Source organism: Homo sapiens, chromosome 10 (assembly GCF_000001405.40).
Source record: "Homo sapiens chromosome 10, GRCh38.p14 Primary Assembly".
NCBI classification, from domain to species: domain Eukaryota; kingdom Metazoa; phylum Chordata; class Mammalia; order Primates; family Hominidae; genus Homo; species Homo sapiens.
The window spans coordinates 90,057,251-90,069,868 of NC_000010.11; positions in this window are offsets into that span (position 1 = coordinate 90,057,251).

The window sequence follows — 12,618 nt, forward strand, 5'->3', positions numbered from 1 at the left end:
GAAAATCTGTGGAAATAATAATAAAAAAAAAAAGAGGTAGAGTCTAATTCCTCTTCCCTTGGATATAGGCTGGCCTTAGTGACTTGCTTGATCAATAGAATATAGTGGGAGTGCAGTTCTGGGATTTCCAAGCCTAGGTTCTAAGAAACCTTGCAGCTGCTGGCTGAATTTTTTGGAATTCTTGCTTTTAAGATGTTCTCAGATCTCTCAGCCACCATCTTATTAGAAACCCAAGTCAACTGAAGAAACTACAGTTAGGTACTCTGGCTGACAGCTCTAGTTGAGTTTCCAAATGACAATAAGCATCAACTTCCAGCCAATTAAGTGCATAATTTTTGACCTCCATCCCAGTCAAGCCTTCAAATGACTCCAGCACCAGCTGCTATGTGACTGCAACAGCATGACAAATCTGAAGAAAATTCTGCCCAGCTGAACCCAGTAAACCCACATAATCTTAAGAGATAACATTAAGTTGTTTTTCAGATCCAAAATTTTATGATGGGTTGTTATTTAACAATAGATAACTAGAATAGCTGCACATGTGGGGCAGTACCTTTCCCATACCTGGCTTCTCATTTGGGCTGGCTTCCCAGGAGATGTGACCTGGTAACATTTTGGGCCCTTGGGATTTCACATTGCAAAAAATGTGATCCACATTTGCCATGAGCTTATGCACTAACACCACAGTCAAGGGTCTGTAAAAAATGATGAGGGCAATGATAACATAGGCATGTTGCACCAATTGCAGTGTTTCCCCAGTTGGCATCCTTTAGAATATTGTATACAAGAATACTAGTTAATAAGTGTGTGTTAAAAATTGTTTCATGCTCAAATAAGTTTGGGAAATTATGTTAATCAATGTAAAATGCAGTTTGTTTATTGCAGGACTTCTCAGAACCTTTAGTATGTTGAGGTTCTTTATTAATCTCTAAGATGTGGCAATTAACCAATAAACTCATCTTTTCTTCATTCATTAACTGTGCCATGGTATGTCACTGTGTAAAATACTGTTCTATGTGTTTCCATATTTTATTATAACTTGAGAGAAAGTAAGAGAATTTTGAAGGAACATGGCTTGCTGTTTCTCCTTCCCAGAGAGGTAATGTGACATAGTAGGAAGTATACAGATTCCGGGAATTAGCAGACAAAGAAGCGAATCTTGCTCTTTCCTTTTAACTGTTTAATTGACATTGGATTCTTTCCATTTTCTGAGCCACGAAGTTTTCATTTAAAAAGGGAATGCTTTCATTTGGACTATAGATTTTTAAATATAGATTTTATAGAGCTCCTAGTTCCATGAATCCCTTGAAATTACACAAACATAGATTTCCTGGGGAAGGGATCCATAGCTCCTATTAGATTCTCAAAGGGGTCCCTGATCCAAAGAAGACAACTACTAGACTAGATTATTTCTAAGCCTATTCCAGATGAATGTTAATCCAGTACAATTTCAAAAAAGAAAAGTGGTACTTTGGTCTTTATCTTACTAGTTGATTTTTAAACTACATGCTTGTACTAGCTTAAATGAATGGTTCAATTGAAAGGAAATATTTTATTACTTTCTTAATAAAATTTAAGAAAGCCAAAATTTGTTTTCTTTTTCATGCTGGAAAACTCTCAACAGGTTTGATATGAATTGCAGAGTAACAGGAATCCCAAAGCTCAAACAATTATCTAAATGGGTGCAGAATTTATATTGAATTCTCAAATTGGAATTGAGATTGCATTAAAAATACTTTGAAAGTAATTCTACTCTTGAGTTTTTAAGTGATTTCATTTTAGGTTTGTTTAAGAAGAATACTGAGTTGAGTGAATGAAGAATTTCCCCAATTCAAAAACATTCACAGCGTGGCTGGAAAGCAAAGGATTGAAGCCATTATGTAAATATTAAGGTCTAGTTTAAGCTATTTAAACACTTGTGTTAGTTACCCACTAGACCTCTTATTCTTTAGGAGCTTGATTGTCTAGACGGGTTGTGTCCTCATTAAATTAAAGATGTTTGTTCTCTACCTTATTCTTCTGTGGCAATGACCAAGACATGTATTTTTACAGTTGTTTCTTCTAGATATTTACAAATAAGCTACGTTACATGGATGGAGAAAAGTTTCTTTTTTAAAACTTAATTTCTTCCTTTCTTAGGCTGTGGCCAGATAAGTTCTTTTTGGAGGCTTCTCCCTGCTACCTCCTAGAGCAAGCAAACTGTCTGAGTGTCCATGTACAAGACAGGGTTGTGGTTTGGGATGTATTCCTGGCATGACTGCTTGTTATTTCTTCAATTGGGTCCTCGACTCCTTCCTTGAACCCTGCATTTCACTAAACCAGTAGCAGTTGTTAATGTCTCTTTCAATAAAGGTATAGAGGCTCTTATTCTCATTGATTGCCTAGAGAATAGCCTGCATTTATTCCTGCAGAGGCCCGACAGAAGCCTCTGAGATAATGGTCACCTGGGTCATGTTTCCTAGGTGGCTGAGGCAGTCAGGTGAGAATGAACCCAAGTCTAGTTCTGAAAGGTAAGCATCCACATCCCAGGGCACTCTACTACCTAATTATCTTATTTTAGGAGCCAGAGACATTCCAGTGGTTTTCAGAAGGGCACCTGCTGGTAATGCCAGTACCAGTTTTATATTGCTAGACGTACATGGTCCCATCCCAGGATCCTGAAGGGGACAACTGGCCATCTGAAGAGCTTATCTGACAAACTAGAGGTGGTGACTCTTCAGCAGTGTTGGGAGTTCACATAGTGCGTTTTCTCATGAGACGGCTTCTTCATGATGGTGATTTTATTATCCTGCTGGAGAGAGAAAATCATGTTTAGACATAAGAGAACGGATGGTAATGACCTGGACCATCCAAATGCTGAGATCTAGAAGGATGCCTTGAACAATAGGCTGCTCAGCCACATTAATGCCAAGAGGGAATTTGTTCCCTAAGGGAGCATAGAGTTGGAGTTTTCCTTTAACTACTACTTAAAGGTCACCTCAATGAAGCTTACCCCAACCATCTTACTTAAAATCGAACCCTTGGATGCTCCTGCTCCTCCTCTACTTTACCTTTTCCATAGCCCTTATCCTTTTTATATAATACAACTAAGTCATGTTTGATTTTACAATCTGTTCCCCCTCTAGAATGTAAGCGCCACACTGGCAGAGATTGATTCATGAAAATTAAGTCAAACCATATAAAATAAAATTTCTATTTTGGGGTATTAATACAATGCTATGTCTCAAGAATTTAAAATGATGCCCAGTACATATTTTAATATTTATTGAATAAATGGTAGAGAAGCAGCACTAATTCTGCATATCAACCAGACAGCAAGAAAAATGTTGTGGGAAATATTTTCATTCAGAGTTCAAATATTCCTCATGAACTCTAAGCAAGCTCTTCCTGAAAAATGACTCAAAATATTCATTCATCAGTAAATATTTTTTGGATGCTAATGTGCATAAAAGAGTAGGGGAAGGATTGACAGCAGCTACCTGCACCCCTGCCAAAAGTCTTTTCAAGCATCCCACTCTGACCTCCAGCCCGTCACCTCCCTTACTCTGGAACTCCCACACCAGCAGGGAACTGGAGGACTCCACTCCTATCACTCTGCAAGCCTTTTCCTTATCCATTTACCCATTAAGAGCCTCAGTTCCATTTTTACTCTTCATGTCACATCACGATGATGGCTCCTTTGTAAACACCCTCACTCATTTGTCCACTCCCCCTTCATCACACCTTCCTGGCAAACCATCATCACTGCCCAGGAACAATTCTCTAATTTCACCTGAGAAATTGAATCAAGTCTTTTTTTTCAGATAAGAAAACCAAAACTTAGAATGAAGAGATTTGTTCAAGGCACACACAGCTAATAATGATAGTAATTTTCATGACCACCAATATTTATTAAACAAATGCTTTGTGTCAGGCATCGACACTAACATGAGCTCACTTAATTTTTGTGACAACCCTCCCCCCATGTAAATTAATATGTTGAGGTTCAGGGAGGTCAAATAAGTAACCCAAGTTTACCCTGCTGGTCAATAGCCTACATTTAATCAGACAACAACTTTTTATTGAACTCATAATCTCTGCAAGCAGAGCTGTACTGAGGACTAGCTCTGCAGTGGGGAACAGAACAGACACAGTCTTTGCTTTAATGACATAGTAGAGACCAATATTTATAAAGTTTTTACTAGGTCCCAGGCATTGTTTTATTTCACTCTCACCGCAACTCTGTGACTTATTATTGTTATTACATGTAATTTTCAGATGGGAAATTGAATCTTAAAGAAGGACCTTCTAAAGGCCAGTTTGCTGGTAGATGAGCTGATGAGGTTGGTGTATGAACCCATGAAACCTGGCTTCAAAGTTCATTCTTATCACTATGCTATGCTTCTCCCTAGAGATTAAAGCCAGGTGGATCAGACGTACACTAACAGTAAAACACAAATACACACCGAGACCTTCAGACTGTCTTCCAGACCCATCAGAAAGACAATCTAGTGCCAATGGACCTCTTATTGCCCTTCACATAACATCACCCTTTCCTGGCCTGCCAGGTCTATGGGGCTGTGGAACTGTGTGGATTGATGTTTGCCAAGTTGTTCATTCTTATAATTTGCATGATATTAAGCAAACCCAATGTTTATATAATGATTTTTATTGAATGCAAAAAAGCCTGTCAAGTTAAAGAGAAAGGAAATGCTTATAAACATTCCAAACATTTGTTTTGTGTTGGCTGGAGTTGGAGTCTAAATGAAAGCTGCAAGTGTGACTAATAATTATAATCTAATTTAGTGCACTGGATTGGAAAGGAGTAATTACTACATAGGACTTTTTGGAGTAAATGATTTATGGTTGACCTACAGTAGATTATTAATTTGGAAAAGAGAAGAATTATAATGCAAATTAATTAAGTTTGGAGCCCTTTCTGATTAGGCTGATAGAACAGTGGAAAATTCCAGGGCCTCACATTATTTGGCTGAACTTGGATTTGGGATATGGCATAAATATTTGGCTGGAGTCTGCAGGGCTTAGGTGTAAAGATATAGACTTCATGCTGATCCCAGAGCCTTTTCGATCTGATCAAGGAAGAGCCCTGAAGGAGGAACTAAATCTTCTATTCCACAAGGAAAATGTATCCTCATAGAATGTTTATGTACTCCAAAATTTATTCTTTTCAATTTGATGATCTCTAAGGTCAACCATAACCACCATCATCACCTCACCACAGTTTACTCAATACTTTCAGTAAGCCAGATGTTACATCCAGGGATTTCCAATCTCTGCAAGATTGACATTTTGTTGTAAAATGTTGTTCTATGCATGTAGGATGATGAGCATCATCCCTCGCCTGTATTCACTAGAAGCCAGTAGCATCCTCCTCCTTTTGTGAAAACCCAAAATGCCCTCAGACACTGCTGAGTATCCCCTGAGAAGGATGGGCAAGATTTCCCCATGTGAGAATCCTTTATGTGCATTATCTAGTTCATTTCTTACAACACTCTGTGAGGCTGGTATATTAGTACACTTAGTGCCCATTTCACAGGTGCAAACTCTGAGGCTTAGAGAGGTTGTATTTAATCGGAGTCACATGGCTAATACATGTTGAGGCCAGGATTCAAACACAGATCTGTAGTTATTCCAAACTCTGTTTTTAGATGAATGATGTTTTTGAGATTAAGTCATTCTTGATAAATAAACAAAAGTCAGGTGGTGGAGTGATTTGGCCAAAATCATACCACTGGGTTACTGGCTGTAACCGAGACATTCTTAAGCCAGTTGGTTATAGAAGGTGGTGATTCAGTGGATAAGTCAAAAGTACATTCACAGTGACCTTGGCTATGCTGTTGGTCTTACTTTTTTTCCTCTTTTTCAAATGTTACTCTTTTATTCTTACAGCTTAGATTTTGAGTACAGAGGGGTCTTTTGAATCTGCATCCGTTAACTCTAAAACAAACTGAGATTGTAAAATCTATTTCTCAGCATTGGAAAGAAACAGACCCCAGGGTTGTTGCTGCTTTACAATTATGTATAAAAGCTTTTCAACCCACACAAATGTTTTAACAGCCCATCTTTCCACCAGCAAGTAGAGAGAAGCCAAATAATCCAGTGAGTATTCTGTTCTATTACTGGAGACTCTGGTACTGCTGGTGGGCCAGTGGGTAGTGGGGGAAATAGCTGTAAGGCTATAATAAAACAGCAGCAGACAGCTTTAGATTAGAACTTTATGATGGCCACTCCAGCCAGCATTATTATTCAATTCCATGTGTAACACAGTGGGGCTGATCTGAAATCTCTGCCCAGTGGGTGCCTAACCACAGAAATCAATGTTTTCTCTACAGTTGATAGGCAAGTATTTTCAGAATCTGTTAAGCTGAAGAATCTAATAGAGAAATCTGCATAATTAGCTCTTTGACTAATCTTGCTTTTGCCTTAGGGTAAGAGGCAGTTTAGGATGCAAAAGCAGTTCCAATATTTGAACTGTAAGGAAAAAAGTTGGGCGTTAGTGGATTTTTCAGATGTAGGGCAAGAAACTTACTCTTCAAATAAAATGTCTCTGAAAGGTGTTCAGCTGTTTGGAATATAGCAATTTCCTGGTTGCAAATATATTTCTTAAAATGATACCCTGAGATGCTGCTGGGGTTTAATGATTGCGTGCTCAAGGATTATCTGACGCTAGAAATCTCGACCACAGATGTAGTTAGTGAGCAGGCCTGGACCAAAGGGGAGAAGTCAGTAGGACAGAGTGAGGACTAGCGTCAGCCAGCCAACAATACCTACCTGGTGATGCTAGAAGATGGGAAAAAACAACAACAACAACAACAACAACAACAACAAAACCCATCATTTCAAGATTCAAAAATGCAGTATAGTGTATTTTTTAGACTTCCAGGTTGACTGGGCTAGAAATAAACCACTATAGACATAGAATGTAGAGTTCAAAAGCCCACCTGTGGAATCAGATCATCTGGGTTCTAATCCTAGTTCTCTCACTAACTGGCTGTGTGACCTAGGGTGAGTTGTTGAATTTCTATGTGCTTTGTTGTCCTTATCATAGAACAAGTTTATAATAAAACTGGCCTAATAGAGTTGTCTATAAGGCTTAACTGAGGCAATATCAATAAAGATTTAGATCTGAGCATGACACATAGCATTTAGTGAATGCTAACCATTATATACAGTTTATCTCCCTCACTTACTAATGGGGTAACTAGGGCTCAGAATAAGTAGCAGCATAGCTGGAATCTTATCTTCTCCAGCCCTAGCATCAAAGGACTTTCATATGACTCACTTATAGCCCATCCTCACAATACCTCAGCAGGGCAGGGAAATGAAATGACAGAGTGAGTCTGGCACAAGTGAAATTAGCTTTCAAAGATCCTGAAAAACAATACAAACCCCTTCCCATCTGAAGAACTTGCTTCTTCAACACAACGACATCTGGGAATATAAGCCATTGCCATTAAACAGAAACATAAAGATTGATACACACCTTACTTTTTCCGATTCAGGATGCTATTGTGTACACAAATGCCTGGTTTAAGTTTTAGAATAAGGCAGAAGATCCTAAGTGTCTACAGGGGAATATTTCCGTCAAATTGTTGAAATTATCACACTTTGAGGAAAGGTTAAATGAGACCCCTAATGGCATATGATTAGGTATAGATGTTGAGTATATCTTGATTGGTAAAAGTCCTCTTTGAGTATACAGAGTAAATGCAGATTTTAACTGGTCAACATGTTATGACCATAAATGCTTTAAGTTTCACTGTTAATAAACTTCGTCTTTCTAATCAAGTTTAAAGCAATTGAACTAATCATCACTGGGTTTTCTTTGAACAGTCACTGAGTAATTAAGACAGTGAGGAGTGAACCTCTATTTCTCATACAACGTTGGTGGTGATGCACAAGGGAAATTAGGCCTTCTCTGATGGAAAGATCCAGTGGGGCAGTGTGGAACTCACCATGAATGGTGTACACAGCAGTCACAAAGTGTGCCTTGGAGGTCAATCAAATCAATTTGCTGATTTCCTGAGATGGATCAAAATTCTTCCACCTTTTCTCTAACCAAGTGCTTTGTCAGGAAGGGCTCAACACATCTTAATCGCAACCTACTGCATCTATCGGCAGCCATCTTTATCTTTAGATCTAGAAAACCTGGCCGGCAGGGTGGCTCATGCCTGTAATCCCAGCACTTTGGGAGGCCGAGGTGGGTGGATCACCTGAGGTCAGGGGTTTGAGACCAGCCTGGCCAAAATGGCGAAACCCCATCTCCACTAAAAATACAAAAATTAGCCGGGTGTGGTGGCTCATGCCTGTAATCCCAGCTACTCAGGAGGCTGAGGCAGGAGAATCGCTTGAACCCGGGAGGCGGAGGTTGCAGTGAGCTGAGATGGCGCCATTGCACTCCAGCCTGGGCACAAGAGAGAAACTCCATCTCAAAAAAAAAAAAAACAAAAAAAAAACTAAACAAAAAAACAACAACAACAAAGAAAAGAAAAGAAAAGAAAAGAAAAGAAAAGAGAGAAAAAGAAATAGAAAACCTGACTAATTGGCATTTTTTGTCCTGAGATTTTGGTAGAAGAATGAGAGAAATGGACTATTGGTGTTTCTCTTTCCTCTACCCACTTTCCTCTTTTAAAATGCACAATTTTATCAGACCATGTTGAGATAAGGAGGGGTTTGGAGGTTTTTAGAGATCAGCGGTATTTATGGATGAAGTGACGATTTAACTCCAGGAGACTGGGATTTGGAAAAATTATGTCATTTTTTTTTCTGACAGCCAGGACAGCACTTGAGGACTTCAAACATCTCTGATGGAACGGCCTGGTACTTTGATAAAAAGAAGGATGGTTTATTTGTGTTTTTAACCTTTTTGACTTTGTATTTTATCCTTCTGACTTTAGGTTAATGACTTTCTTTCTTCAGCATTGTGGATGAATTAGGTTTTGTCATGGGGAAAAACATGATCTGCAAATTCATCATTTTTTGAGACTGTGAATATCAGCAAAACTATCAACTTTCAGGAAAATGGAAAGTAAGAATATGATTTATGTTATATAAACACTTTGAGTATATATACTTCTGAGTTGTTCTTAATGTTAAGAAAGCAAGTTAAAGGTTTTTCAGAACTTAAAGACAGTTTATACAATTTAAATTTTGTTAAAATGGAATTGATTTCTTCCTCAAAATTTTTGAGGCACTTTATCATTGATCATGTAGAAACTACTAAATATCATGAACAATCTTTAAAGTACAGAAATCCCATGGACCTTCATGTTAGTGAAAGAAGTAAAATGTTGATTTATTTCTTAATTCAGTCATGATACATTTGCTAACCTCAAGAAAAAAAGAAGATGATTTATTAGGAAGTAAGACTATAAAGATAACCAAATTAGAAAATTTCATTAGAAGAACACATTACTTTCAATGCAATAAAGCCAATCCTGGTTCTGGTATTTACAAGCTATGTGACCTTGGGCAAAAGGTCGAGCCTCTTTGTGCTCCACTTTTCTCATCTGAAATATATTGCTGGGAGGCTTAATTGAGATAACGTTATAAAGTATCTGGCATTGTGCCTGTCACAGAGTAACTACCCTATACATATTGGTTATTATTTTTTCTTTCTTGCAATTTATGTCATCTTGTTCAATTTTACATGGCCATAAGCCACCTTTAAATCTTTTTGGAACTAGTGAGAGTAAATTATAAATTAATATGTTCAGTACATGTAGCTTCAGAAGTGGAGAATAGTCCTTGGGCATAGAATTGCCTATCGCCTTGGAAAATGTCACTGGAGTTCAAGGCCTAGTTCTTAGCTGTGCATATTTGGAAATTGAATTTTCCAACAGGTCTCTCAGAGATGAAGACTGAATACAGTGGAGAGAGAACTTCTGGATTCAAGGACATTGAAAATAATAGCTAGTAAGTGTCAAGCACTGTTTTAGGCACTTTGGATAAGTTTTTTTGATCTTTTTTATTTCAAAAGCATAGAATATGAGGCAGTTTTCTTGGGGCATGACCAGTTTTAATCATGTAACCTAAGATGTTTAGGATTATGGATCAGGCCCTGCCCAGGCTTAGCACAGGATATCCCTGTAAGAGAGGTGTCTATGTATTCTATTAAAAATGGATATATTTTATGTTTGTGACCTGTAAGGTCATTTAAAACATGGAGCTCTAGGCCAGGATCCCTCTTGCTCAGGTGTAGGGATGGTATTAGACTTAAATAATATAAGCAATAAAATATCCCTATTTACAGATAAAATTGTTAGGTCACAGTGAGATTAAGATTCTTTTTTTTTTTTTTTTTTTTTTTTTGAGATGGAGTCTCACTCTGTCGCCCAGGCTGGTGTACAGTGGCACAGTCTCCGCTTACTGTAATCTCCACCAGCCAGGTTCAAGCAATTCTCCTGCCTCAGCCTCCTGAGTAGCTGGGACTACTATAAGTGCGTGCCACCATGCCTGGCTAATTTTTTGTATTTTCAGTAGAGACGGGGCTTCACCATGCTGGGTAGGCTGGTCTCGAACTTCTGACCTCAGGATCTACCCGCCTCGGCCTCCCAAAGTGCTGGGATTAAAGGTGTGAGCCACCATGCCTGGCCCGGAGATTAAGATTCTTATACAGGGAGATGCAGCTAGTTAATTACACATAGGGTTTAGATAAAGACTGTCTTATCCAGAAGGTTGTGCTTTTAACCACTACACAGTAGTCCTTACTTATGTGTTCCTGAATTGGTATTACTGTACCCTATATCCCTGTTTTACATATTTTTGGGGCCACAGAGAGCTCCAGGAGGCCACAGACATGGGTGAAACTTATGCGTGTCCAAGACAATTCTCCTATGAACTCATGTGTCCATTCTCTACTTCTCTTCTGACACATACCATACATTATCAATATTCATTTATTTTTTTCTTAATTTGGATATATTAAAGCTAGAGATATGAACAAAAAGGTCATGATATGAACAAGCCATTTCTTTGGGTCCACTTGAGTGCCTGTGCCTTGGAAAAGGACATTGGAATTCAGGGTCTCTTGTTCAGGGTCTGGAGTTCAGGGTCTGTCACAGGGTCATTCATTGATTTTTTTTTTTAAATTTGAATTTCAGTTATATAAAGAAGTATTTTTTTCTCTCTTTCTTTCTTTTCTTTCTTTCTCTCTCTCTCTTTCTTTCTTTCTTCTTTCTCTCTCTCTCTCCCTCCCTCCCTTCCTCCCTCCCTCCTTCCCTCCCTCCTTCCTTCCCTCCCTCCTTCCCTCCCTCCCTCCCTCCCTCCCTCCTTCCCTCCCTCTCTCTTCTCTTTTTTTCCTTCCTTCCTTCTTTTCTTCTTTCTTTCTTTCCTCTTTCTCTCTTTATTTCTTTGCAAGAATGTCCCAATTATTGCTAAATCCGACAACCCTATTACTTAGGCCATTTCTCTTTTTTTCTATGTAATCCATTTCTCTTATTTGAGAGAATGACCCTCTTCTTTTTCTCATTTTTAATTTTTAATTTTTGTGGGTACATAGAAGATGTATATGTTTATGAGGTAGATGAGATATTTTGATACAGGTAGAATCACATCAGGGTAAATGGGATATCCATACCTCGAGCCTTTATCCTTTCTTTGTGTTACAAAGAATCCAGTTATATTCTTTTAGTTATTTAAAAATATGAAAATAAATTATTTTTTACTATAGTCATCCTGTTGCCCTGTTGTGCTAGCTAGCAAATACTAGATCTTATTCATTGTATCTAACTACATTATTGTATCCACTAACCATCCCCACTCCACCTACCCCCTCACTACTCTTCCTAGTCCCTGGTAACCATCCTTCTACTCTTTATGAGTTCAATTATTTTAATTATTTTCTGACTCCTACAAATAAGTGAGAACATGTGAATTTTATCATTCTATGCCTGGCTTATTTCACTTAACCTAATGACCTCTGGTTCCATCCATGTTGTTGTAAATGACAGGATCTTTTTTTTTTATGGCTGAATAGTAAAGTACCGTATTTTCCTTATCCATTCATCTGTTGATGGATACTTAGGTTGCTTCCAAATCTTTGTGAATAATGCTGCAATAAACATGGGAGTACAGATATCTCTTTGATATACTGGTTTCTTTTCTTCGGGGTATTCCCAAACAGTGAGATTGCTGGATCATATGATAGCTTTATCTATAGTTTTTTGAGGAAACTCCAAACTGTTCTCCATAGTGGTTGTACTAACTTAAATTCTCATCAACAGTGTACAAGGGTTCCTTTTTCTCCAAATCCTTGCCAGCATTTGTTATTGCTTGACTTTTGGGTAAAAGCCATTTTAACTGGAGTGAGGGGATATCTCATTGTAGTTTTTGATTTGCATTTTTCTGATGATCAATGATGTTGATTACCTTTTCATATACCTGTTTGCCATTTACATGTCTTGTTTAAAAATGTCTATTGAGATCTTTAGTCCATTTTTAAATAAGATTATTTTTCCTATAGAGTTTTTCCTATAGGGTTGTTTGAACTCCTTATATATTCTGATTATTAATCCTTTTTCAGATGGATGCTTTGCAAATATATTCTCCCATTCTGCAGATTGTCACTTCACTTTGTTGATTGTTTCCTTTACTGTGAAGAAGCTTCTTAACTTGATG